Consider the following 27,137-nt stretch of genomic DNA (forward strand, 5'->3'; position numbering starts at 1 on the left):
GCATTTTCTTTTTTTTTTTAAGACAGAGGCTCGCTCTGTCGCCCAGGCTGGAGAGCAGTGGCGCGATCTCAGCTCACTGCAACGTCAGCATCTGGCAGGGCAGGCACACAGTAAGTGCTTAATAACTATTCTTGCAGGAGTGAATTTGCCCAAAGCCAAATACTTTTAACAAGCTGAGTTTGGTAATGAGCCTTCTTTTTCCCAAATGTGGAGACCTTTATTGTGCTGGCAAATATTTTGCCTGGAGAGAAAAACAGCTTCCCTGGTGGGAAGTTTCCAAGGGAGTTTCGTCCCCTCCCCTTCCTAAACAGACGGACCCTGTGTGCCTGCTGGCTGTCTGCTGCGGAGCAGAAGCCTCCCTTACTCCACCAACCTTCGTGTTTTACACTTCCCTCCCCCTTTTAAATTCTACAGCTTCTAACCAAATTCCACAACCTGAGAATGTTCCCTTCCACTCAACAAGCTCACCTTTAACATCCGGTCTTTTCCCCTTCCTCTAAAACCCCCAAAGGTTAAGAAAACACCCACGAGGCTTTGAGGATCTTGTGACGCTTACCAGACAGACACAGACGGTGCAGTTCTCATTGGGAGGTGAAAACACATCCCCTTCAGCTCGGACGACACCACTGTGAAAACAGCCTTTGAAGGACAAATAGGAGGTAGAGGCATCAGACCTCTTCAAAGAAGAGGAAACTTGAGGTCTCGCTGCTTCTCCATGCTTAATGTACCTGGAACATTCTCTCACTGCCCTAGGTGTCCCAGGAGTGGTAGATTCAGGGTACTCTGACTGTGTGGTCCTGCAAGGATCAGCCGTGGTGGCCCCAGAAGGGTCCATTCATGTCTCACAAACCCACAACTGTCTGGAGAGCACAACATTTTCTTCCCAGAGGGCAGGAAAGGCAGCCTGGTTTCAAAACCTGAGGCCAGGTGCAGTGGCTCACACCTGTAACCCCAGCACTTTGGGAGGCCAAGGCGGGCAGACCACAAGGTCAGGAGTTTGAGACCAGCCCGGCCAACATGGTGAAACCCCGTCTCTACTGAAAATACAAAAATTAGCTGGGCGTGGTGGCGTGTGCCTGTAATCCCAGCTACTCGGGAGGCTGAAGCAGGAGAATCGCTTGAACCCGGGAGGCAGACGTTGCAGTGAGCCGAGATCGCGCCACTGCACTCCAGCCTGGGTGACAAAGCAACACTCCGTCTTAAAAAAAACAAAAAAACAAAAACAAAAAAAAAAACTGGCCATCCAGCTTCGTTAACCAGCGTGTCCCTGGACATGTCACTTCACCTCTCTAGTACCCAGATTGTCTTCACTGCAAAATGAAAACACCACCATGTACCCTGCAGGGATCTTGGAAGGATCCAAAACCTGGGCAATAAAGTACCCAATACTTCGCACTCAAGACTCAGCGTGTTGCGGGGACATAGCCCACAACAGTCATTAAGAAAATCAAGCCAGGCCCAGCGGCTCATGCCTGTCATCCCAACACTTTGGGAGGCCGAGGCGGGCAGATCACTCGAGGTCAGGAGTTCAAGACCAGCCTGGCCAACATGGCGAAACACTGTTGCCAATAAAAAAAAAGTACAAAAATTAGCCAGGCTTGGTGGTGGGTGGCTATAATCCCAGCTACTTGGGAGGATTGCTTAAACCCTAGAGGCGGAGGCTGCAGTGAGCCGAGATCACACCACTGCACTCCAGCCTGGGTGACAGAGCAAGACTCCATCTCAAAAAAAAACAAAAACAAAAAAACAAAAAAAAACCAGTGCATTTCCATTTTAACCCTTAGGAAGACTTTTTAACTACTGCTCAATCTCCAGCAACCTCAGTGTCATATCACCAAGACCATCAGACAAAGAATCCCCTCCCAGACCAACTGAATGAGAATCTGCTTTTTTTCTTTTTTCTTTTTAGCCAGGGTCTCACTCTGTTGCCCAGGCTGGAGTGCAGTGGCACAAACATGGCTCACTGCAGCCTCGACCTCCTGAGCTCAGGTGATCCTCCCACCTCAATCTCCCAGGCAGGTAAGATTACATGTACACGCCACCATACCTGGCTAACTTTTTGTATTTTTTGTAGACACGGGTCCTCCCTATAGACACGGGGCTAGTCTCAAACTCCTGGGCTCAAGTGATCCGCCCACCTCGGCCTCCCAAAGTGCTGGGATTACAGGCTTGAGCCAGCATGCCCAGCCAAGAATCTGCATTTTAATAAGAATCCCCTTGATTCAACTGCAGAGCAAGTTTCGAGAAGCTCTGTTAAGGATCTGTGAAGAATTTGGGTCCCTATCCTTCCAGCAATGGGAAGCAAATGAAAAACCATCAGCAGATGGCGGGGGCGAGTCAAAAAGGGGGCAGAATTTAGAAACAACTACTCCTCCGCCTGTAGGAGGGTAACTGGGCAGGAGAAGGGGACTGCACAGTGGATTTAAAGAGGCTCAATGAATGACTGAATAAATGAAAATGAGCGAATGAAGCTGAAAACAGATGCCCAGAAGATGAAAAGTCCCCCTTGAGGCATATTACAGCATAAATGAGTGGTTCTCAAAGTATGGTCCCTAGACCAGCCACGTCAGTATCACCTGGGAACCTGTTCAAAACGCACATGTTCTGGCCCTATCCCAGACCTACTACATCAGAAGCTCTGGGAGCAGCGCCAAGGGAAGTGTGGCTTAGTAAACCCTCCAGGAGATTCTAATGTATGCTAATGTTAAAGAACAGCCTTTTGGCTGCAGGAGGGTGCAGAGAAAGGAAGAGGCAGGACTATGTCCTTCCCTGGCACCAGCTCTCACCTGTGCACGATGGGCAGCACCCACCATCTCTGGAGGGAATTGGGTGGGAACAAGCAGCTTCACACCTCACCTTTTCACAGGTCACCTTCCCGTCCTAGAAGCACAAGCAGGAGTTAGAGCCACCACAAGGCCCCAGACCAAGGAAGCTCCGGGGACCCCTAGTACCCACCTCGCACCAGCACTGGGAACACCCAGGCTCTGTCCAGCGACTCCTTGATTCATGCATGGCTCCCAGGTGCCAGCAGGGAGAGGGCCCTGCTGCCAGTCGGGGGGACTCAGGGCCCCTGGGTGAGGAAGGGGTCCCCATCACCTCCCCCTGAAGGAGTGAGGGGGGTCTGAGGTTCCCCAGCAGGGAGGCAGTAGGCACTGGGGTGGCCAGCAGGGTGGACAGCAGCCACACAGGGGCAGAAGGGGAGGATGTGGGTAGTCGTGGGGTGGGAGATGGCAGGCGGGTGGTCCTGACTCCGGCTGGGGGCCCTGGAGCCCCAGAAGGAGGGCTATGTCCTGGGGACAGGGCAGGCCGGCCGGCCTCAGGAAGCAACAGAAGCATCTTGGACGGGTGTTGCCGGGGTTGCAGGATGGCAGATGGGGCCAGCACGGCTTTCGGGAAAGCTGAAACAGAAGCACGGAGGTCTCTTGGGGTGGACAGCAGAGACAGGAGGCAGGGTTTAGGGAGACCTGGGCTCGGCTCCACCACCACAAGTCCCTGTTCACCCCCCGTGGTCTGCGCAACATTCTACTATGTTTATGGGGACACTGTCGCCGTTTGGCAGGGCGAACCACGGAAATGGCTGTCCCTGTAGCCCAGGATACTCGGACTCCTGTTGGGTTTTATCCTTTTATCATTTGGGAAAAAAACAGAAGGGCTGGGGAAACAGTGAAAAGAAGAAGGAAGAATGGATAAAGAAGTGGAAAAAGAAAGCGAGGAAGAAAGTGGAGTGTTGAAAGTAACAAACAAGATGAACTCAAAACAAGGGCAGAGCAGAAAGGGAGCCTAGCGCCAGGTGGGCGGGGCCGGGGTAGGGCGGGGCCAGGAGCTGAGAGGGCGTGGCTGGGCGCCGGGAGGGCGTGACGGGGAGGGGCCAGGCTATGGGGGGGCGTAGCTGGGGCAGGCACTGAGGGGGCGTGGCCAGCCGCCGGGATGGAGGGGCCTGGCGCTCACCTTCACAGGACACGCGGTCAGCTCGGAGCCTGAAGCCAGGTCGGCATGTGCATAGGAAGCTGCCCACGGTGTTGTGGCAGGAATGGTGACAGACTCGCCTCTCCAATGGCCTCCGACACTCGTTTACATCTGCGGGAGAGCCTCGCTGCGGACAGCTGCTTTGTTTGGGCTACGGAGCCCTTCTTCCGCCCATCCCTTAGCTCAAAACACTTGGGGAGTTTCTCTGCCATGTTCTTACAGGGTCCATGCCTGCCCCGAGGTGCGGGATGTGACTCAGACAGCTGGGAGCGGGGCTGAAATCTAGTGCTTGTCTTGTTAATAGGTTCACACATCGAGCAGGTATTTAATGCGAGTATCAGAGACTCAGCCCCAGCACTATGCAGCGGTAATTAATTGCTGCGTGGTAGGGGTAAGCCCCAATGAGAAGCTCATCTCCAAACCTTCCACCCTCCCGTTTTTCTTTCCGAAAAAAGTCTCAAAACTCACTGGGCTGCTGAAGGAAGGCTTCGGGACAAATACCTAACTCCGCTAGAACAAGGTCTTTTTTCAGGCCCATGGGACCCCACCTTAAACCCATGAGCCAAGCTCAAACCAAACATGCCAATCCCTTTCTGGAAATTTCTGCTAATGGGCTGAGAAAACAGGGTCTCCTTCTAAACCAGAGGAACCAAGACATAACGTGCTTTATTTACCAAGGGGAGCAAAGGCAGCCAAGAAAATGGGTGAGCAGAGAGGAATCCTTGGGGTGTATCTGGGAGAGGAGCGGAAGAGAAACATAACAGGATGAAAGTGGCAAATGGCCAGGAAAAGTCCAAGACAGGGTCTTCATGCAGAGCCACACCAACCCCAGGGACAGGCAGGCTCTGAGCCAAAGGCTCAAGCCCCTTCAAGCTCCAGAGGACCAGAAAGTCTAATTGTTAACCTTCCCGGGTCCCTGGGCTCCCTGTCCATCCTCCTGATTGGCAGCCTAAGTGTGCAGACCACAGGGTCCTCCCCGCCTTACCTACACAGGAGTGCCGGTTGCCATGAAGGTGGAAGCCAGTTCGACAGGAACACTTGTAGCTGCCAATGCTGTTTTTACATCTCTGCTGACAGGGAGTCCCTAGGCATTCGTCAGTGTCTGGCAGGAAAAGGGACAAGACTGGGGTTCATTTCCCCAACAGAACCTTGGAAATATATGGTCCCCTCTTCCTCCCTCATCTCCATCTCCTATACACACAGGGCTGTGGGGAACCACCTTAGCTGCCCCTCTTCTGCACTGCCCACATCCAGTCCTAAATACTCTCTGGACCAGCCCACGTCTCTCATCCTCACTGCTACCCCTTAGCCCGGCCACATTCATCTCTAGTCTGGAGAATAGCCAGAGCCTCCAGTGTGTCTATCTCTACCTAGGTTCCTTCAAGCCATCCTCTGCACAGCCTCCAGGATGTTCTGACCAAAGGGCATTTCTAATCAGGGCCCTTCTGCTCAAAACCTCTCCGCTGCTCCCACAGGCCACAGACCTCATCTTAGGGTAAGACAGCAATGCCGCCCCATAGCTCACGATGCCTTTGAACACAGTCCTGGTTGCCTTGCCCACCTCCTTCCTTGCCCCTGACCTTCACTCTGGCTTAAATTCTTTTTTGTTGTTGTTGTTGTTTTTTGAGACAGAGTTTTGCTCTTTTTGCCCAGGCTGGAGTACAATGGCGCGATCTCAGCTCACTGCGGTCTCCATCTCCTGGGTTCAAGCAGTTCTCCTGCCTCAGCCTCCCAAGTAGTTGGGATTACAGGCATGCACCACCATGCCTGGGTAATTCTGTATTTTTAGTAGAGATGGGGTTTCACCATGTTGGTCAGGCTGGTCTCAAACTCCTGACCTCAGGCGATCCACCTGCCTTGGCCTCCATTACAGGCGTGAGCCACTGCACCTGGCCACTGGCTTAAATTCTTGCCATCTTCCAAATGCACCACGCTCTTTTGGTGCTCCACTTTTGCCCATGTTCTCTGTCTGCCTCGAATGCCTTTCCCTCTTGTCTGGCTGGAAAACTCCTACTCATACTTCAAAACTCAGCTTCAGTGGAACCTCCTCTGTAAAAGTTCCCTAGTGCTGTTTGAAATTGTGAAAAACTGGAAATAATCTCCATGTTCATCAATAAGAGAAGAGTTAGTAAACTATGAAATATTTGCACTGCAGAGTCAGCAGTTAAAAGGAACAAGGCAAGTCTATTTACCCTGATGTGGAAACATCTTCAAGACCAACGTTGGGCAGGGGTAAGGGGAACAAGCAAAGGAATGACTAGGTTCAAATCCCAACTCTGGCTGGGTGCAGTGGCTCATGCCTGGAATCCCAGCCCTTTGGGGGCCAAAGCGGGAAGGATAGCTTAAGGCCAGGAATTTGAGACCAGCCTGGGCAACACAGCAAGACCTCATCTCTACAAAAAAAAAACAAAGAAAGAAAGAAGAAAAAAACCTTAGCTCTAATGGGATCTTAAGCAAGTAACAATTTCCTTAAGCCTCAGTGTTCCTTTCAATAAAATGGAGATAGATAATACCAACTTCACTGGGTAATTGTGAGGGCGAAAGGAGAAAATGCGTGTAAAGTGCTTAGCCCAGGACCCAGGACCTGAGAGTTCAGCAACTATCCTATCTCTGTAAGTGCCCATGTACGTACGTACACATCATGGGGAGGGGCAAGGAGGGCACACAGCAGACCAATGCCTGAGTGCTATGGACTAAACTCTGTCCCCTCAAAAATCGTGTTGAAGCCCTAACCGCCAATGTAATGGCATTTGGAAGATATGCAGGTAAGATAAGTAGATAAGAAGATAATTAGGGTTACATGAGGTCATGAGGGTGTGCCCTCTTGATGGGATTAGTGTCCTTTTAAGAAGAGACATGAGAGGCCTAGCTGGGTGGCTCACGCCTGTAATCCCAGCACTTCAGGAGGCCAAGGCGGGCAGATCATTTGAGGTCAGGAGTTCAAGACCAGCCTGGCCAACATGGTGAAACCTCATCTCTACTAAAAATACAAAAATTAGCCAGTCGTGGTGGCGCACACCTGTAACCCTAGCTACTTGGGAGGGTTGGAGGATCGCTTGAACCCAGGAGGCGGAGGTTGCAGTGAACTGAGATTGCAACAATGCACTCCTGGGCAACAGAGGGAGTGTCCTCTGTCCTCCTCCATGTCAAAAAAAAAAAAGAAGAAGAAGAGATACCAGAGAGCTCTCTCTCCAAGTGAGGACACAGCAAGAAGACTGCTTTCTGAAAGCCAGGAAGAGCCCTCACCAGAAACTGAATTAGCCAGTGCCTTAATCTTGGACTTTGCAGCCTCCAGAACTATGAGAATCAATGTCAGTGGTAGAAGCCCCCAGCCTGTGGAATTTTATCATGGCCGCCCAAGCAGACTAAGACGCGCAGGCTATTCTCCAGGGAGAGCAGAGGGCAGCAGTGGGAAAGAGGGCCTGGGCTAGCACCATGGCTTTTAAATTTTTTCTCATAATTTATGAAAATGTCAAACATAAAGAAAATAATAATGTAAGATTCAGGGGGAGGTCACAATTATCGGCCTTGTGAGATTCTTTCCATAATGTGTAAATAAAAGGCATTTTAAAAGAATGAGTAATAATTGTAAGATCTCTCATCCTGCAAACTGAAGAGGTAGGATTCCTTCTCTTCCCTGGGTTTTCCCAACACTTATCCCTCATCCTAAGCTTGTTCTTCTGCTCCCCATCAGACTTGGGGGATCCTACTCCCCAGGGTAGCTCCAGAGCCTGGGCCAGCAGTGGGGCAGGTGAAACTGATGAATGTAGTCAGTGAATGACCCCATCCCGGTATGCCCCTCCCATGGCTCCTCGGGACTCATGGCCTGAGTCTCTCCCGGCCCTCCCTCATCTCAGTGGCCTCCTTCCCCAGGTTGGTCGGCCCACTCTGCCCTGGCTCTCCTCACGGCCTCTCCTCCATCACCATCCCTTTATCCTGCAACAGCAGCAGCAGGTACTTTGTTTTCTGAGATGAAGTCTCACTCTGTCGTCCAGGCTGGAGTGCAGTGGTGCAATTTCGGCTCACTGCAACCTCCACCTGCTGGGTTCAAGCAGTTTTCCTGCCTCAGCCTCCCGAGTAGCTGGGATTACAGGTGCTCGCCACCACGCCTGGCTAATTTTTGTATTTTTAGTAGAGACGAGGTTTCACCATGTTGGCCAGGCTGGTCTCAAACTCCTGACCTGAGGTGATCCTCCCGCCTTGACCTCCCAAAGTGCAAGGATTACAGATGTGAGTCAACCCACCAGGCCAGCAGCAGTCGGTTCTAACTGTTAGATGTGCTGGGATTCAAACTCTGACTCCACCTCTTACTAACGACTTGGCCTTGGGCAAGCCTCAGTCTCCACATCAGTCAGACAGGAACCATAATAGCATCTCCCTCCGAAGCCGGTGGTGAAGGTTCAATGCAGTGGCACACAGAGCACACTGCACTGGGCATGGCAGGGCTGAGTGTTCAATGTGGCATCCCCATTACCCCTCCCAGAGCAGCCATTCCTTCTCTGCAGCTCACCTTGGCAGCTGTGGCGGTCGGCAGACAGCTGCATGCCCGGCCCACACTCGCACACAAACCCACCTTCTGTGTTCACACAGTGGCCCTCGCAGGAGGAGGTTACACATTCGTCAATGTCTGGAAAGACAGAAAGCACGTGTTTACACAGTGGTCCTCGCAAGAGGAACTTACACATTTGTCAGTGTCTGGGAAGAAAGCACCCTTGCAGGCCGGGCATGGTGGCTCACGCCTGTAATCCCAGCACTTTGGGAGGCCGAGGCCCATGGATCACCAGAGGTCGGAGTTCAAGACCAGCCTGACCAACATGGAGAAACCCCGTCTCTACTAAAAATACAAAATTAGCCAGGCATGGTGGTGCATGCCTGTAATCCCAGCTACTCGGGAGGCTGAGGCAGGAGAATCGCTTGAACCCAGGAGGCGGAGGTTGCGGTGAGCCGAGATTGCGCCATTGCACTCCAGCCTGGGCGACAAGAGCAAAACTCCATCTCAGGAAAAAAAAGAAGGCCGGGCGCGGTGGCTCACGCCTGTAATCCCAGCTCATTGGGAGGCTGAGGCGGGCAGATCACGAGGTCAGGAGATCAAGACCATCCTGGCTAACATGGTGAAACCCCGTCTCTACTAAAAATACAAAAAATTAGCTGGGCGCGGTGGCGGGCACCTGTAGTCCCAGCTACTTGGGAGGCTGAGGCAGGAGAATGGCGTAAACCTGGGAGGCGGAGCTTGCAGTGAGCCAAGATCGCACCACTGCACTCCAGCCTGGGCGACAGAGCGAGACTCCATCTCAAGAAAGAAAAAAAAAGAAAAGAAAAGAAATCTCCCTTGCACGGCCCTCTCTGACATGACTGTGACTCAGGAACAAATCAACCCCACAAGGACCCTGAGCCCACACCAAGCCTGCCCTCAGCAGCATGGAATCCCCACCTGCACCCCAGGAAAAAAGAGCAGACACCAGGAAGGTCACTGGCTATGAGGAAACCCCAGGAAGGAAGAGGCCAAGGGACTGGGGCCCCCTTTAACCCATGAAGATCAGATGACGAGAGAAGACGGCTGAGACCAAACGTTTCCAATGGCCCTGGCCCTCAGGGCAACCCCAAAGGGCCCTCAAACGGGCAGAGGGCAGTGGACAGGGAGGTTGATTAAATAATCAACAGAGTCATTCTCTTAAAGGTTCATAGAGCACCAACTGCGTGCAGCAGACCCAGAGGGGTGCTGTTGAGGACGCAAATGTGACTAACTAAGACACAGCGCTGACTCCAGATGTTCACGGTCTGATAACACAGGAGCCAAGACACACACCCAGGGGAGAACAGTGCCTGCTGGGATGATATATGCCCCACCAGTGACAGACTGGCCCAGGCAGGCATGCCCTGGAAGAGCGACTGGCTGAGAGGACCAGGAGTATCGGGAGAAGGACTGCCCAGGTGGAGAAAGGGTCTGAGGTGCTTCCAGGCAGCAGCTGGGCTCCTTGCAAACTGTACTGAGGCCCAGAGTAGCTGAAGCTTGGGTTCCTTTTGAGGCAGCAGGAGACAGGACTGAAGATATGGATTAAGAGGAGACTAAGGCCAGGCGCAGTGGCTCACGCCTGTAATCCCAGCACTCTGGGAGGCCGAGGTGGGTGGATCACGAGGTCAGGAGATTGAGATTATCCTGGCCAACATGGTGAAACCCCGTCTCTACTAAAAAAAAATACAAAAATTAGCTGGGCATGCTGGCACGTGCCTGTAATCCCAGCTACTTGGGAGGCTGAGGCATAAGAATCGCTGAACCAGGAAGTCAGAGGTTGCAGTGAGCCGAGATCGCACCACTGCACTCCAGCCTAGCAACAGAGTGAGACTCTGTCTCAAAAAAAAAAAAAAAAAAAAAAAAGATGAGACTAAGTTGCAGTGACTAAATCCAAGTAGTACTTTACGAAGGTGAGCCTAGTGAGATGTTCTGATCTGAGGGATGATAGGAGCTGGGAGACAGATTTCCCCAAATCATGCTTCATGCCATCCCTTCCCTGCCAAAGATCCGCAGCAGCTTCTGAGGACCTACGGGCTCAGCTCAGTCTACTCAATCTGCACTCACTGTGTAGTGAGCCTCGCCACTGTGGCCCCCAAGCCCATGGGACACCCCCACTCTCCTTATCCCCTACTTAGCCTTCTACCCAGCAGCTACCCACTCTTCCCAACAGCTGGACCGTCAAGACCATGCTCAACACCGCTAAGAAGCCCACTCTGACTAACCCCATTCCACTGGGATGTCTCGTGGCTACAGTCAGTGCCACCCTGTCCTGCAAGTGCTTTGACATTGTTCTCTGGCTTTTCCTTGGTTCCGTTTGCCTCTGCAATGAGAAATACGTGCAGAAAATGTCCCAAGGTGAAAGGCATTCAGGAGCAGATCAATTGCTTCCATTGGTTTTCCTATCTGGAGGAGATGCTGCAACAAGCAATGAGCTCCAAGACCCCTTTATTGAGACCCTTGGACCCAACAGCGTCCTTCTGGGAAATAATCAGAGAAGCTGACAGGAAGCCTCTTTATGGCGCGTTTTTTTTTTTTTTTTTGAGACGGAATCTCGCTCTGTCACTCAGGCTGGAGTGCAGTGGCGCGAACTTGGCTCACTGCAACCTCCGCCTCCCGGGTTCAAGCAATTCTTCTGCCTCAGCCTCCTGAGTAGCTGGGATTACAGGCACCCGCCACCACACCCACCTAATTTTTGTATTTTTAGTAGAGACGGGGTTTCACCATGTTGGTCATGGCTGGTCTCGAACCCCTGACCTCGTGATCCACCCACCTCGGCCTCCCAAAGTACTGAGATTACAGCGGTGAGCCACCGTGCCCGGCCCTATGGCAGCATTATTTATACTGGTGAAACACTGCAAACCTCTTAAATAAGGGACAACAGACAAATAGTTATTTCAATTACAGCAACCACATATGTAACTGCTAAAAAAAAATTTTTTTTCTTTTTGTTTTTTTGAGACAGTCTTGCTCTGTCGCTAGGCTGGAGTGCAGTGGTGTGATCTCGGCTCACTGCAACCTCCACCTGCTGGGTTCATGCAATTCTCCTGCCTCGGCCTCCTGAGTAGCCGGGATTACAGGCATGTACCACTACACCAGCTAGTTTTTGTGTTTTTAGTAGAGACAGGGTTTCACCATGTTGGCCAGGCTGGTCTTGAACTCCTGACCTCAAGTGATCCACCCGCCTCGGCCTCCCAAAGTGCTGGGATTACAGGCGTGAGCCACCAAGCCTAGCGAAAAAAAAAATTATGTTGCAAGGAATTGTTAGTGATGCCTACAACATAAAGTTAGATGGGAAAAATAATAAAAGCTACAGATAAGATATAATCCCAGTTTTATAAAGCATACATATATGCTGCATGCTTAACATACATACACACACATACACACACTCACAAACACAGACACACCCAGGGAAAAGGGCAGGAAAAAAAACTTCATTTTAGTAACAAATATCTCCGGGTGGGGACTTCCAGAGAATGCTTATTTTCATCTTTCTCCTCTTACTTTCCAAATGTTCTACAATGAACTATCTCTTGCTTTTCTATTCAGGGGGAGAAATATTACTTTTACGAAGTTAAAACTCCAAAAAGGCTTTTGTCGCTCTGGAAAGATTGACAAGAAACTGGTCACAGTGACTGTTTCTGGGGAAGGTAACAGATTTTGTCCGTAGAAATGTTTTAAAAATCACAAGCAAATAATACATTCACAAACTAATTATTGAGTTTAGCGTCCCTCATCTTTTAAATGTCATTTTCCCAAGGAGCCTCCCCTGGCCAACCCTCCCAACTCTGGGTTCCATGCCCCTCTGTGGGCCCTGGCACCTTGCCCTTCCCAGTGAAGGTCCCCATGACAATGGAGCTGTTCTTGTCCTGTTACTTGTCTTCCTTCCTCATATTCAGAAACTCCCTAATGGGGCTGGGTGCGGTGGCTCACGCCTGTAATCCTAACACTTTGGGAGTCCGAGGTGGGTGGATCACCTGAGGTCAGGAGTTCGAGACCACCCTGGCCAACATGGCAAAACCCTGTCTCTACTAAAAATACAAAAATTAGCTGGGTGTGGTGGCACCCGCCTGTAATCCCAGCTACTGAGGAGGCTGAGGCAGGAGAATCATTTGAACCCAGGAGGTGGAGGCTGCAGTGAGCTGAGACCATGCTACTTCACTCCAGCCTGGGCAAAAGAGTGAAACTTCGTCTCAAAAAAAAAAAAAAAAAAAACTCCCTAACAGGGACCAACTGTGGCTCCCATAACCCCAGTCCCTAGCTCAGTTCCTGCCCCTAAGAAGTGCTCAATAAATAATTGTAAAATAACAGAAGTGACACATTTCTTTTGTTCTCATGTCTCTCTGCCCACTCTCAAACATCAGAGCCTATCTTGGCTCAGCTTAGCCTTGCAATACACTGGAGACCATCCTGGCAGGAGGGGGAGGAGATATAATTCCCGCTGTCCCCCTCCCCCTCCCCCACCACTCCCAGGCGTCTCACCTGTACACCTGATGCCAACAGCTGTCTCCGTCATCGAGAAGCCCACGGGGCACACTCGGGCCACCTCCTGACAGCCTCCATGGTTGCAGGTAAGGTCACAGCCGTACTCCCCACATGGTCCATGGGTTTCTAGAGCAGGCATCACACCAGTGAGCATGCACCCCGTGGCAGTCCCAACCATCCCCACTTCACCAGGGTCCTCCTGAATTCTGTTGGGAGGGTAGCTCTGAAGGCAAACAGGCCTGGGTTTAAATCCAGCTCTGCCATTTACCAGCTGTGTGACCCCGGGCAAGACAATAACTTCTGTGTCTCAGTTTCTTCATCTATAAAATGGGCACAAAATGTCTACCTAATGGAGTTGTCTGAAGCTGAGACACCAGGACACATCTCAAGTGCCCACTGCCCAGGACATAACCTCAATGCTCATTCATCTGTTCCCATCAGCCCCTTCCCATCCCCAGTTACCTGGGCAGGTGGCCCCTTGCTCTCCATCCTGGCAGGAGCAGACATTGGGAGCGATGCAGATGCCACTCCCACAGCCGAAGGAGCAGAGGGCTGAGAGGAGAAGTGCAGGTGAGACACGAGGAACTGGGGCCTCCCGTCTGCCCCTCGGACCAGGGACTGAGGGCTGGCAACACACACTGCTGGAGGAGAAGACTTGGGGCACAGGGACAAGCACTTACGCAGGGTGCAGTGCCCACCACCCATAGAGGGCGCCCAGCCAGGGCAGCAGCCACTCCCAAACCCAGAGAGGCAGACGTGGGGGCCCAGTCGGCGTCTGCAAGAGAAGAGAGAGCACTTTCCTCATTCTATACTGGGGGAGACATTGGTCAACAGGAAAGTCTCCCAGCCAGTGTGTAAGTGAATCAACAAACAATTCTCAAGAACTGTCTGGAGGGGCAATGGGAAGTTTCCAAAGAAAAATGACCCAAACAGTCTTCTCCTGGAGGCAAGACAGAGACAAAAGTGTGAGACAATAGATACTGGCCTCCTACAGATATCTGCCACGTGAACACACAGCAGAGTGGCCAGGAGAGGGGCCTCAGAGTTGAAGAAAGGCTGTGCAATAGATGAGGAGCCCCAGGGGTGGCTGCCTCAGGACCTTTGCACTTGCAGTTCCTGCTATAAGAAAGGTTCTTATGGCTGGGTGTGGTGGCTCACGCCTGTAATCCCAGCACTTTGGGAAGCCGAAGCAGGCTGATCATTTTGAGCCCAGGAGTTTGAGACCAGCCTGGGCAACATGGTGAAACCTCGTTTCTACTAAAAACACAAAAACTAGCTGGGCATGGTGACACACACCTGTAGGGTCAGCTACTCGGGAGGCTGAGGTGGGAGAATGGCTTGAGCCTGTGAGGCAGAGGTTGCAGCGAGCCAAGTTGGCGCCACTGCCCTTCAGCCTAAGTGACAGAGCCAGACCGTCTCAAAACAAAAAAAAAAAAAAGAGAGAGAGAAAGATTCTTCCTCAGACACACACTGGGCTTCCTCTCTCCCTTCACCCAGATCTCTGCCCATGGCACCTTCTCAGAGAGGCCTTCCTTGTCCACCCTTACCTTGCTTTATTCTCCACAACATTTACTTCCTGTGACATTAGATTTTAATTTATTAATTCATTGTCTCCCCTACAACTCCCTGATGACAAGGGTTTCTTATCTATTTACCCCAGCACGTACAGGAGTGCCTGGCATGTAGTAGGTGCTCAATAAATGGCTGTTGAGGGAAAGGTTGAGAAGGGCAATGGCATAGGTGACATCTCTTGGGTGGGTGTGGGGTCATGAATGAGCTGCCCAAAACTGGAGGCAGTAGGGGTCTGTTCAAGCAGGAATGAGGTCCAGAAAGGGCAGGAAGCCAGATGCATCCAACTGGTGCTGGGTGCTGAGTAAGGCGTGACCATACAGCCATAAACAAACTACTGCCCCCACCTTCAAGGAAAGTAGGGCAGACCAGGAGCTAGGTGATAACAGCATAGAGTGACAAATGCCACAGTGGGACAGACTGTGGAGCCCTGAGGAGGGTCAGGGGGGGTTCCTGGAAGGGCAGCATCTAGGCTGAGGTGAGAGAGAAAACTTTGGGAGGCCAAGGCAGGCAGATAACTTGAGGTCAGGAGTTTGAGACCAGCCTGGCCAACATGGCAAAACCCTGTCTCCACTAAAAAAAAAATACAGGCCGGGCGCGGTGGCTCACGCTTGTAATCCCAGCACTTTGGGAGGCCAAGGCGGGCGGATCACCCGAGGTCAGGAGTTTGAGACCAGCCTGACCAACATGGAGAAACCCCGACTCTACTAAAAATGCAAAATTAGCCGGGCATGGTGGCGCATGCCTGTAATCCCAGCTACTTGGGAGGGTGAGGTAGGAGAATTGCTTGAACCTGGGAGGCGGAGGTTGCGGTGAGCTGAGATCACGCCACTGCACTCCAGCCTGGGCAACAAGAGCAAAACTCCATCTCAAAAAAAAAAAAAAAAAAAAAAAAAATTAGCCAGGTGTGGTGGCATGTGCCTGTTGTCCCAGCTGCTCGAGAGGCTGAGGCATGAGAATCGCTTGAACCCAGAAGGCAGAGGCTGCAGTGAGCCGAGATCGCACCACTGCACTCCAGCCTGGGTGACAGAATAAGATTCTGTCTCAAAAAAAAAAAAAAAAAAAGTAGGGCAGCCAGCAAAAGAAGAGGAAGGGAGAGGGTGTTCTAGCAGGGGAAACAGCACAACTGCAGGCCTGGAGGGGGACAGAGAGGACAACTGCAACCAGCTCCAGTCATGGACTGGACAGAGGGTGATGAAATCCAGCCTGGTTTGAGCTTCCAACCCCACCGCAACAGAAAAGGGACAAGAAACCCCTTCCCAATGGTGTTCCACCAATGTTCAGAGCGGAGGGAAGATGATTCTGCGAGGCAGGCACTTTGTAAAGCACCCACTCTGCGCTGGGCACTGGGGACATGGGACAAGGCAAACTTAGCGTGTTCTTGGGGAGAAAAATCTGTGCCAAAATGTGACAAGTATTCCGGAAAGGGAAGCTCAGGGTGCAATGGCAGCACACAAAAGTCTGAGGAAAGCTGTCCCTGGGGCCTTTTTCCCTCTCTGAGGTCATCACAGAAGAAAGGGGGGGCCCTCCTGCTGGCGGGAGCTGGCAGTGAAGTCTCATCCACCCCCTTGCTGGAGTGATTATGGCAGCAGCCTGAGAAGGAGGGGACCGGGCGAATGAGCGGAGCCTTGGGACTCTCAGAAACGGACAGGCAGTGCCACCAAGGCGGCAGATAAAAGGGTGCCCAGGGAGGCTGATGGAGTCGAACTCTCAGGTGGGCAGGGACCGAGCACCCGCCAGAGCGCCCTAAGGAGCCTCCTAGGGCTGGTGACAGAGGGACAGGTGGTGGGAGCCTGTGGAACGCCGGGGAGTCGGGGCAGGTTCTGAGCAGGAACTGGCGGTGGCTGTGGAACACACGTGTGAGCTACAAGCCTGGCCGGGCCGCCCCCGCTGCGCGCCCCCCGGAGGACGTGGCCGCGGGCCAGGCCGCCTGCTGACACAGTGTTCCCTAGCTCCGAGCATCACGCACACACGCGCACGGCCCCACCGCGGCCCGGGGGAAAGCACGTGCGGAGGGCGGCATCCATCGCGAAAGACAGCGGAGGGGCATGCACCCCACCCCCACGCGCGCACACGCACGGACAGAAAACGAAAAGTGACCCAGAGACCCCGGCTGTTCCAAGGTCCATGAAGTTCGTAGGGCCAAGACCCAGGGAAAGCCCCGCGCGGCAGGGGAGGCCAGGCGCTGCCCGGGCAGAGCCACGGGCACGCTGGGGGGTGAGCCAGCCAGTCCGGAGACCAGATGGCACGTCCTGGGCTCCCCTCTCCAGAGGTCCGCGCTCCAGGGCACATTAGGAGTCACCCAACGCCTGGACCTCCGATCTCCCAGGTCCCAGTCTGGACAGCCCCAGCCAGGGGGGCACGATGAGCACCCGCCTAGAGGCACAAGTTGCTGACTCTTTGTGCCGTCCCCGAGCTGTGCCCGCGCTGATAGCACCCCAGAGGAAGCCCCGACACGCGGCTGCCTGCGGCTCCTGAGCGCCCCTCCGCGCCTCTCGACTGCACGCCGGTAGCGCTCTCCCGGGCGGGGGAGCGGGGAGGAGCTCCGGGCGCTTACCTCTCGGCCGCGAAGTGCCCGGGCGGCTTCCTCCCGGTGTAGCCTCGGGCTGGTGCCCCCGGCAGCAGGAGCGCGACACAGGCGGCCCGAAGGAGCAGTCCGGCCCACATGACCGGCGGCGGCGGGTCCCCCGGGCTGGGCTCGGCTCCTGCGCCGCGCGCGGGAGAGGGGGCTGCCGGCCCTCGCCCCTCCTCCTGGCGCCGTGGGGAGCGAACCAGCGATCCCCGAAATGGCACGCAGAGCTGAGCAGGGGGGCTTGGGACGCCGAGAGGAGGGGCCGAGGGCCGCGAGGGGACGCGGCGGACGATTGTGGGGAGGGTCTCTGGCACCTCGAAGCGAAACACACAAAGGCAACGCCGCCCGCCTGCTGATGCCTCTCCGAGAGGCGCGGAGCCCGGGGCGGGGGCAAAGATCAGGGACCCCTGGGGGCGGGGTTTCGCCCTCGGCCCACACCCCCTGCCCCGGTTTGGGAGTCGGCTTCCTGCGAAGCGCTGACTGAAGGCGTCAGACCGAGGCCCCGGGAGGAAACAGACTTCGGGAACAAGGCTAGCACCAGAGGCTGCGCGCCCCGGGCATGGCCCCTGTCGGTGGGACCCGAGACGCCTTGTTGTGACGAGGTGGGAACCGTGGAAATTCGAACCCACGACGCCAGGTCGCTGTGCCGCTGAGCAGTTCTAGGCCTGCCCCCAGCCTGCCAGAAGGTCTGCACCCTAACGCCGGAGTGCGTTGATCTGTGGGTCCAACCGCTCCCTGGCCTGGGGCCCTAGCCACTTTTGAAGCCCCGGGCTCCTCTGGGCACCCAGGGGGCAGATGGCCGGCCTCCCGACTGCTGGTGGCAAGACCAGGAAGCAGCTGGCGCCGTTGGCAGTGGAGAGGCAGCAGCAGATCTGGAAGGCTCCTCTTTGCCCCTTCTGCAGCTGCCCCAGGCCGTGGTCAGAGACTGGGGGGCTGCCTAGGGATTTAGGCAAAGAAGGGGTGCGGAAATCAAAATCATCCCGCTGGGAGAAAGCTGAAAGGATAACTGATTTTACCTTCTGCTCCATGCAGTAATCTTTCCCTTAGCCACCCACAATTAGTCAAGATTTTGCTTAAATACTTCCAGGGGTAAGAAACTCACTATCTGTTAAGAAGCGGCCCAATCCAGTTTTGAACCACATTTGTTTTAAAGTGTCTTCACTTCCCAGTTGAACAATCCCTGTTCCTTTGGCCTTCCTGCTACCTCTGCCTTTACTGAGGTGCTTAACATTGGTGGCCACAAATGGACATGGCGTACCAGCGGTGGCCTGGACTCGTGCCTCCTTCCTGCAGACACCATACTTTTACTAATGCACCCTAATATTACGTTTTTGGCAACCCCATGATGTTAATTATGACACATTGAGTTTGCAGTAAAGAAAAACCACAGGTGGCCGGGCGCGGTGGCTCACACCTGTAATCCCAGCACTTTGGGAGGCTGAGGTGGGCGGATCACCTGAGGTCAGGAGTTCCAGAACCAGCCTAGCCAATATGGTGACGCCCCATCTCTACTAAAAATACAAAAATTAGCTGGGCATGGTGGCGGGCGCCTGTATTCCCAGCTACTCAGGTTGAGGCAGGAGAATCACTTGAACCCAGGAGGCAGAGGTTGCAGTGAGCCAAGATTGCACCATTGCACTCCAGCCTGGGCGACAGAGCAAGGCTCCATCTCAAAAAAAAAAAAGAACGAAAAAAAGCAGGCATTTTTTGTTGTGCTTTTATGTTATTTAAACACAAGCTGCCAAGTGGTCTCCCTACCTGAAGCTGTGTGGCCCCATTTTTTTTTTTTTTTTTTTAGATGGAGTCTTTCTCTGTCGCCCAGGCTGGAATGCAGTGGCACGATTTCGGCTCACTGCAACCTCCATCTCCCGGGTTCAAGCAATTCCCCTTCCTCAGCCTCCCGAGTAGCTGGGACTACAGGCGCACATCACCATGCCCAGGTAATTTTTGTATTTTTAGTAGGGACGGGGTTTCACCATGTTGACCAGGCTGGTCTTGAACTCCTGACCTCAAATGATCCACCCACGTCAGCCTCCCAAAGTGCTGGGATTACAGGCGTGAGCCACCGCACCCGGCTTGTGGCTACATTTTTGCAGACATTCACCTTGAGGCCGTATCTCACCTTGTTTGTTTTGGCCCATTTTCTTGTCAACATATTCTCAACAAGTAGGAGCCAAAATATTCTGTAACATAAGATGAATGCAATTTCCGTCATATCCATTCTGAGTCCCAAGGACCCTCGGAATCCTAAGGCATCTTTCTCTCTTGCCCCAAACATCTGAAGGTTACACTTTCCCCCTCCACTGCCCCTAAACCACCAATGTCAAATAGGTGCTCTTTTTTCCTGGCCCTAGGGGAGCTACCCAAATTTTCAACAGGCATACACAGAACAAGTGTCCACATGGCTTCCATATTTCATGCCATCTTCTCACACTCCAGCACACCTCAGCTACCTCTGTTCTTAGCTACATTATGGAGCCCCACCTGCTCCACCTCACCCTGTAAAACTCACTCCCTGGCAGAGTTTGCTCCATATTGGCCAATGAGCAGCTGGAATAGCTGAGATGCAACTTTGTGCTTGAAGAAAACCCACATCTACCCTAAGGAATTTAGGATACTTAGTACACAGTAAATTCCTGTTAGTGAATCTCCAAACAACGTCCAAACTGCCCCTGGCATTTCTTTCATTTCCCCATAAAGTTTCTGTGACCTTATGGCATTCACCTTGCTCCTATCAACATTTTCCCCTTTAGTTTGGTTTTTGTTTTTCTTGTCTTTTTGTTTGACCCTGAGGTTTCTCAGTTTGGACACAGAGTCTCTAACTTACTATTGTTCAAGACTAGTTCGGGCATATCCCTTGATTGCAGTTCCTGTGTTTCTTCCCACTTCTGTGGCTTGTGGTTTCTCAGTAACAAAAGGGACCCTCCACCGAGGGTGGAGGATCCAAGTTGTTGTTGGCTGCAGAATGACAGCCTCTGGCTTGTGATCCCTTCAAATGGTCATGTGATGAGTCAGTGTTTCTATTATTCTCCCAAAGGTCCCTTCGTGCAGAGGCCTGGAGTGATGCTAGTTCATCAGCGCCTACATGGAATGGAGCTGTTCCAGTTGGCTACAGCCACGCTCCAAAGACAACCTTTCACCCCTAGAGAGGTGATTAATGGTGTTTAAGAGGGGATGTGGGAGTATGGCAGCAGAACATCAGTTTCCAAAGTTGGAATTCAATCCCGAGTGAATACACCCAAGAGTGTACAAAACAAAAAATCAGCAAAACATAGCAAGGACTCCACAGGCTTCCAAATTCAAGACAAGTCATTGACAACCTTCTTCTCAATAGCAGGTCTCAGCAGCTGCAGGTCAGACCACAAAAGTGCCCCAGAATGATCATCCCACCACATTCTGTCTTTCTGATTATGACACCTTATAGTCAGCGCTCCCATCTAGGATTAAATTTTTAAAATAATCACAATGTGGAGACTGTTGCTTGCCTGCCTCATTAAAGCTGGCCTCTGGCAGGGGGGCAGGCCCTTTCAAATTCAAACTATGACTTCTAGAATTCAAATCACAGTGTTGGGTTTCCAGTTCAACCTGTGGTTTTTGAGAGGCTGATTATTTTTTGTTAAGACCCTTATCCCCCACCCGCAGAACTCTCAGAAGAGTAAGGGGAAAAAAAGGTAATAAAACACAAGGAATTCCTTCAGGGAAGGAAACTTCCTCCAGAAGACCCTCAAACCAGGGATGCTTCTTAGCTCTTTTCTTTTTAAGCTAGAATCTCTCAAAACCACAATTTGAACTTGCAACCACAATTTTCCTGACACTGTATCAAAGGCTGGTCTTAAAGGAGCCACCAATATGCCTAGTATCAACCCTACTCCACCGTGGGGACAGAGCAGCCTTTCTTCCCACCGGATCACTGAGAGAAACGTGGTCCCAGACATTGGCCCACCAAGCTGAAAAGAAGACAGGCTTTGTTTGCCAGACAGAAGAGTGAATCCCATATGTGCCCTACTCCTGCTGTATTCTCAAACCAAAAGCACCAAAGGTTCACTTGATTAGATCAGAGGAAACAAAATGAGGGTCCAAAGGGCATGTGGCAACAAGCAGCTGGGAGGTACATGAGGAGCTACTAGGTGGCCTGGGGGCTAGATGACTGGACACTGCACACAGAGCTGGCTATAAAACCAGGAAAGGCAGTCCAGGCAACCCCCAGGCCCAGCAGGTTACCGACAGAGGCAAGTAAGAATCAAATGGTGTCAAGGACAACCAAAAAGACCAGTGAATTTCTAAGCCCATCATCCTTGGGATCCCATCAAACAATCACGTGATGAAGAAGAGGTATAGATGTCTTCACTTTCACTACTTGAAAAGAGCTGTTCTAACAGCAAGGGCAAGTGAATGCAACAACTGCCATAAAAGGGAGGATACTGCCTAAGTTCGCAGTAAATTAAGAATAGTTAACCTGGAGTCCTGGATAGCTGGGCAGGGTGAATAAAAGCAAAAACAAATGTACCTTTCTTCTTATATTCTACTTTATTTGGTAAAACTCAGAAACTAACAATTCACATCCTCCCACCTTCTTCTTTCCGAAGAAGGCAGTTTGCAGAGACAAAAGGGCTGTGGCGTGGGGATCATCCACCATCTCCAGGTTTTACACCCAGGCTACCCATGGCTTGGCAGTCAGGCCTCTAGGCCTGATGCTCTCAGAGGCAATAGAAGAAAAGTAAAAGGAAGGTCTCACTTCACAGACAATGAAACCCTCCTAACCCTCTTCCCCACTACCCACAACTCCCTACACTGCCAATCTAAATAAAAAGAGGACAATGCATGAGTGTGAGATACACATACACACACACACATACACACACACACACGCACAGCTTCCTTTCAGCCAAAGAACTGCAAAATCCTTCCCCGGAAGGAGGACAACTGGCAACACCAATCAAGGCTTGGTGGTCTAAGGTGATGGCTGGAATCATGTGAGACTGGTAAAAATCCAGGGAGAAAATGTTTCACCTTCAGCTCATTCCCAAGTCTCTATGAAGCCCGCCCCACTTCCACATAGGGGAACTGTGGCTCTGGGGGCAGCTGGCTTAGGGAAAGGCCTCCCATGGCCAAGAAGACGATGGTGGAGAGGAGGGGGAGGGCAGCAGGGCAAAGCCTTTGGGGAGGGTCAGCAAAGGGGCCCCCTGCCCTTGGCTAATGGATCCGAGTTAGCTCCTCCACAACCTTGATGAGGTCGTCTGCAGTGGCCTCTCGCTTCATACCGCTGCCATCGTCATACTGCAATGAGAAGATGGGCGGGGCTGTGAGGACCAAGAGGGTGCTCTCCCACAGGTGGGGAAGGGAATGCCCCCAGTGAAGGAGGCACAAGACTCCACCATTGTCATGGCAGAGGAAGGACTCACCAGAAACCCACGCCTCCCCCTGGGTGGCACAGGTCAGCAAGGACACCACCTGGTCTATTTCTCCCTCTTCAAGATTCTCCCTCTTCTGCTATCCCCGAGACACCATCTCCAGTGAGCAATATCCCAAACTCCAGAATTGTGGCCATTTCTCCTCCCTACGGGATCCTGACCCTGCCTCCCACCTTTGGGTCTTGCTAAAGATCCCAGATATGTCTTCACTGCTCAAGGACGGGGTTAACATGGGTAGAGTTACTAGCACAGCATCTGGTACCTAGTGGGTACCCACGAGCCACAACTACAAACATCTCTTTTCCCTCAGACTCCACCTTCCATCTGGTAAGGATTACACAGAGGTCCCCTCGCATCTTGGAACTGAGGAGGAGAGGTGCCCAGAGACAGTCTCCTGGCATGCCCCAACCTGCAGTGGACTTGTCTGGCCCAGGGTTAAACACCACACAGCTCACCTGTAGGTTTGCCACCACCTCCTGCATCTTGGGGCGGCTAATATCCAGGAAACTCTCAATCAAGTCACCGTCGATGAAACCTGTGGCTGGTTCTGTCTTCCGCTCGGTGTGAAAGGATCTCCAGGTGGATGGGTGAGTTAAGGAACACGTGCTTATCAGGAAACACCCTCCTCAGTCATCCCCACCTTTGAATAAGACCACAATCTAAAGCAATCATCAGGATTAGAAAGGAAATGACACTTCCTTTCGCCTTGCTTTTATTTGGACATTTTTGGAATTGAAAAAAATGTAAAAATATGACCTAATCTAATTGGTTCTCAATTGGGGTGATCTTCAAAATAGTTTTTAAAAGTACAGATCAGAGTCTATTAATGTGAAGCCCGTATATGTATGGAAGTTCTTTAAAAGTGCTCTAGGCAAAGCTGATGCACAAGAACCACCTAAGTCTAGCCTCAAAGCTCCATAGAGGGGTCAGTGTGGTGGTGGCTCATGCCTGTGAACCCAACACTTTGGGAGGTTGAGGCAGGGGGATCGTTTGAGTCCCGAAGTTCAAGACCAAACCGGGGCAACATCATGAACTCCTGTCTCTACAAAAAACAAAATTTTTTTTTAATTAGCCAGGTGAGCTGACACGTGCTTACAGTCCCAGCTATTCGGGAGGCTGAGATGGGAGAATCACTTGAGCCCAGGATGTCAAGGCTGCAGTGAGCCATGATCATGTCACTGCACTCTAGCCTGGACAACAGAGCAAGAACCCACCTCCAATTAAAACAAAAAAAGAAGAAGAAGAAGAATAAAAGCAGCAGCTCCGTTGATGAATAAACTGAGACTCAGTGAGACAAGGCTGCCAAAAGTCTTGTTAGCAAAAAACCAATAAACCAGCCCATCAGCCCTCCTTGGCTAGAGCAGGGCCAGAGTCACAGACAGGAGCTCCTCCCACCTCCAGGGGGGCGGGGAGGGCCCTTTATATCTCCTGTACTACACAAACTTCCAATAGCACTTGGATTCTGGGGGTCCCAGGGTGGCAGATTCTTTCAGTGTTTTCCGCTTCTTCACCTTTCCCTTTCTTCTGGTAGTTTCTCTAGTCTCAGACACTGTTGCCCTCAACCAAATCCCTGAAAGGATGTGCTCCTGTGTTGTGATCTAAATTCACATTTGGCCTGCTACACCGAGAGGGCCAGAGGCGGACACATTTCAGGAATATAAATGTACATTTCCAAGATGGACCAGCGGAAGCTAGGTGATAAGTACTTTGGGAGTCAATATACTGTTCTATTGTGTATGTTTGAAATTTTCCACATGAAAAAGTCAAAAACAAAACAAAACAAAAAACCTGTTCTGTACAGGAACCTAATCAAGACATGTAGTAGCTTCCGGGTAATGTGACTCCGTGTGCCACATATGCCGGGATGTGCTTCCCAGCAAGGGGATGGCTCTGGGAAGGATATAAGGAGTGCTCGATCTTCCCCACACTTTTGATGACTTTATTGAGTCGATTCTGCATGTCCAGCAGGAGGTTGTACCAGCTCTCTGACAGTGAGGTCACCAGCCCTGAAGAAGTGAAGGAGGCAGTGAGCTGCAGAGAGCTCAACCCCACAGCATGTATCCTCTACGTAAAGGGCAGCCCAGGTGAGCAGCTCAGGGAGGGCTAATGTGCTGCAGCCTCCTCTAGTAAACACCTAGGTCTTGTACAGTTGCTCTCCCCAGTCCCTCAGAATGCTGGTATCAGGAAGGAGGCCTGTGTGGGGGTGTGCCCCACAGGGGTGACCTTACCTATCATGCCGTTGACCGTGCCGAAGAGCACCGAGCCTTGTGTGGGGGTGGAAGTCTCACCCAGATTCTGCATTACCAGAGAGCCGTGGCAAAAGACATTGACAAACTCGCCCAGGTGGAAAAGACCAACCTCCTGGAGGTGCTGCCGCTCCTCGTCAGTGGTGGCAGCGCTGAAAGGCGGTAAGAAAGTCACTTTCTGAACCTCCTGTTTCCACCACAGGCCCTGAGACAGGACCACGTGCAGTGGTCACGGTGCTCAATTTCCCTGGGGAGCTGACATACTCCACAGTAGGGGAGCCAGTCTAAAGAGGTGGATTTCTGTCACCTTTTATTCTCTGACGAGGAAAGTTCTATCTCTGTAAACAGGAGCACCTGAACCTGACACAGAACCCAATGCTTGCATCCACCAGAGACCAAGGAACTCCCAGCCCTCCCCACCACTCCCAGAGCTGGCCACTACTCACCTATCCTTTTGACACACAAACAAGTTAAAGGCATTTTCAGCCCCCAGAAAATTGTCATCATCCAAGATTTCCACAGCACTCATCCAGTTGGGATTAAAGTCTCGAGCAATCTTAAAACAGACAAGGTGAAAGAAGAAAGCATAATCAGCAGTTTGCACGGAATCCAGTTCTGGGACTTGTGTTTCCTTTATTCAGGAGCAAGGCCCCACCCTGCAGAAGATATAGCATGGTGTTCAACAAGTGTCACCCTAGAGGGATTCTCCCCGACCTCTCTGCCAACGCAGCCCATTTGGTTGCCAACTGCCCAGAGATGGAGCCTAGTCAGAGTTTGAGTTGGGAGTCTCTAAAAATACTTAATCAGGGCCGGGCACAGTGGCTCACGCCTGTAATCCCAGCACTTTGGGAGGCCGTGGCGGGCCGATTATGAGGTCAGGAGATCGAGACCATCCTGGCTAACAAGGTGAAACCCCGTCTCTACTAAAAATACCAAAAATTAGCCAGGCGTGTTGGCAGGTGCCTGTAGTCCCAGCTACTCGTAGTCCCAGTTACTTGGGAGACTGAGGCAGGAGAATGGCGTGAACCTGGGAGGCAGAGCTTGCAGTAAGCCGAGATCGCACCACCGCACTTCAGCCTGGACAGAGCCAGACTGCGTCTCAAAAAAAAAAAAAAAAAAAAAAAACTTAATCAATGTAGAATGTCTGCTCCGGGGAAAACATTTCTGCCCCTAATACTGGGCTGGCTTATCCTTCCCCACCAGAGACACTTGCAGGGGCGGTGGCTCAAGCAAGAAGTCTGCTCGCATCCCCCCACCAGCATCACCTCTTCAAAGTTTCCTTCCATGGGCTTGTAGGCAAGCAGCAGCACTGAGCGCATAAGGTCGCCCACCAGGATGAAGTCGCCCTTGGTCTTCAGGTAGAGGGCCATGATGTTGTTGTAGTGGTTGCACTCAGTGCGCAGCTCCTTCTCTGTTGTCCACTCATAGAGCCGCACCTGGGAAGGGCATTGTCTCTCTCAGCCAAAGGGGCCAGAGCTCTCTCAGAATGACTCCCCCCAACTCTTCGACCCTTCATCTGCAGCACTACTTCTCAAAGTGCAATGCGGGACAGGAAACGGTTTTATGAGGCACTGGGGTGAACATTTATTATTTCACTATTACATATTTATGAAATATGAAAACACAATGAACACACCAAACCAGGAATACAAAACTTCCCAAGTTTTCCTTTACATAAAAAAATGAGTCCACGTAAAGGAAACAGTAATGTGGGTAGTCGGGCTTGGTGGCGCACACCTGTAATCCCAGCTACTCAGGAGGTTGTGGCACAAGAATTGCATGAACCCAGGAGACAGAGGTTGCAGTGAGCTGAGCTGAGATCATGCCACTGCATCCCAGCCTAGGCGACACAGCGAGACTCTGTCTCAAAAAAAAGAAAGAAAGAAAGAAAGAAAAGTCCAACAGAAACATTGACAAATAACTAAAGGAACCTGAAGAACTTGATTCTACAGCCACCCTCTACCACCCCGCAAGAGGGAAAAAGAAACTGTGCAGCCGGCCGCAGTGGCTCACGCCTGTAATCCCAGCACTTTGGGAGGCCGAGACGGGCAGATCATGAGGTCAGGAGAACGAGACCATCCTGGCTAACACGGTGAAACCCCGTCTCTACTAAAAATACAAAAAAAAAATTAGCCAAGCGTGGTGGCGGGCACCTGTAGTCCCAGCTACTCGGCAGGCTGAGGCAGGAGAATGGTGCGAATCTGGGAGGCGGAGCTTGCAGTGAGCCAAGATGGGGCCACTGCACTCCAGCCTGGGGGACAGAGTGAGACTCCGCCTAAAAAAAAAAAAAAAGGAAAAAAAAAGAAACTGCTTTTTTCTGTCTCCACCACAGTGCTTCTTCAATTACAACCACATCTCCAAAAGAATGAAAATGC

General features: G+C 52.0%; 2 protein-coding genes across 13 annotated transcripts in view, besides 7 other annotated features; both read right to left on the reverse strand.

Annotated features, from left to right (window-relative positions):
* The window catches only part of VWCE (von Willebrand factor C and EGF domains), a 37,031-nt gene extending 19,552 nt beyond the window's left edge, over positions 1-17,479 (reverse strand). For 6 of the 12 annotated variants that reach the window (XR_949822.3, XM_011544817.1, XM_006718460.1 and 3 more), the window contains exons 1-10: positions 17,091-17,479; positions 13,645-13,739; positions 13,427-13,516; positions 12,962-13,090; positions 8,477-8,593; positions 4,952-5,068; positions 3,949-4,077; positions 2,956-3,398; positions 2,787-2,880; positions 557-639 (exon numbers count right to left, since the gene is read on the reverse strand). Coding sequence is in view for 11 of the 12 variants with exons in the window: in XM_011544817.1 (XP_011543119.1) it covers positions 557-639; positions 2,787-2,880; positions 2,956-3,398; positions 3,949-4,077; positions 4,952-5,068; positions 8,477-8,593; positions 12,962-13,090; positions 13,427-13,516; positions 13,645-13,739; positions 17,091-17,200 (1,407 nt within the window). In the remaining variant the exon portion in view is untranslated. Of the gene's footprint in view, positions 1-556; positions 640-2,786; positions 2,881-2,955; positions 3,399-3,948; positions 4,078-4,640; positions 4,700-4,951; positions 5,069-8,476; positions 8,594-12,961; positions 13,091-13,426; positions 13,517-13,644; positions 13,740-17,090 lie in introns of those variants that run through there. The other 6 variants (XM_047426550.1, XM_047426551.1, XM_017017341.1 and 3 more) reach the window with 4 other exon arrangements.
* Positions 3,630-4,551: an enhancer, noted in NCBI's record as "H3K4me1 hESC enhancer chr11:61048939-61049860 (GRCh37/hg19 assembly coordinates)". NCBI's record gives its function as "activates a minimal SCP1, AML or CMV promoter by ChIP-STARR-seq in naive H9 embryonic stem cells {active_cell/tissue: H9 hESC(naive)}" and the evidence as "EXISTENCE:reporter gene assay evidence [ECO:0000049][PMID:30033119]".
* Positions 16,299-16,558: a silencer, noted in NCBI's record as "silent region_3387". NCBI's record gives its function as "represses an Ori minimal core promoter by ATAC-STARR-seq in GM12878 lymphoblastoid cells {active_cell/tissue: GM12878}" and the evidence as "EXISTENCE:reporter gene assay evidence [ECO:0000049][PMID:35858748]".
* Positions 16,530-17,232: an enhancer, noted in NCBI's record as "H3K4me1 hESC enhancer chr11:61061839-61062541 (GRCh37/hg19 assembly coordinates)". NCBI's record gives its function as "activates a minimal SCP1, AML or CMV promoter by ChIP-STARR-seq in naive H9 embryonic stem cells {active_cell/tissue: H9 hESC(naive)}" and the evidence as "EXISTENCE:reporter gene assay evidence [ECO:0000049][PMID:30033119]".
* Positions 16,530-17,308: a biological region, named in NCBI's record as "H3K4me1 hESC enhancer GRCh37_chr11:61061839-61062541".
* Positions 16,999-17,308: a silencer, noted in NCBI's record as "silent region_3388". NCBI's record gives its function as "represses an Ori minimal core promoter by ATAC-STARR-seq in GM12878 lymphoblastoid cells {active_cell/tissue: GM12878}" and the evidence as "EXISTENCE:reporter gene assay evidence [ECO:0000049][PMID:35858748]".
* Positions 17,489-17,558: a silencer, noted in NCBI's record as "silent region_3389". NCBI's record gives its function as "represses an Ori minimal core promoter by ATAC-STARR-seq in GM12878 lymphoblastoid cells {active_cell/tissue: GM12878}" and the evidence as "EXISTENCE:reporter gene assay evidence [ECO:0000049][PMID:35858748]".
* Positions 21,614-27,137, reverse strand: part of DDB1 (damage specific DNA binding protein 1) — a 33,655-nt gene continuing 28,131 nt past the window's right edge. Inside the window, exons 22-27 of the mRNA NM_001923.5 lie at positions 26,028-26,198; positions 25,209-25,318; positions 24,745-24,914; positions 24,420-24,522; positions 22,972-23,095; positions 21,614-22,382 (exon numbers count right to left, since the gene is read on the reverse strand). Of these exons, the coding sequence (NP_001914.3) occupies positions 22,299-22,382; positions 22,972-23,095; positions 24,420-24,522; positions 24,745-24,914; positions 25,209-25,318; positions 26,028-26,198 (762 nt within the window). The 3' untranslated portion in view covers positions 21,614-22,298. The remainder of the gene's footprint in view (positions 22,383-22,971; positions 23,096-24,419; positions 24,523-24,744; positions 24,915-25,208; positions 25,319-26,027; positions 26,199-27,137) is intronic.
* Positions 22,285-23,484: an enhancer, noted in NCBI's record as "MED14-independent group 3 enhancer chr11:61067594-61068793 (GRCh37/hg19 assembly coordinates)". NCBI's record gives its function as "activates an origin of replication core promoter dependent on BRD2, BRD4, P300/CBP and CDK7 cofactors, and independent of MED14, by STARR-seq in HCT116 cells {active_cell/tissue: HCT116}" and the evidence as "EXISTENCE:reporter gene assay evidence [ECO:0000049][PMID:35650434]".

This window comes from Homo sapiens, chromosome 11 (genome assembly GCF_000001405.40).
Source record: "Homo sapiens chromosome 11, GRCh38.p14 Primary Assembly".
Lineage (NCBI taxonomy): Eukaryota > Metazoa > Chordata > Mammalia > Primates > Hominidae > Homo > Homo sapiens.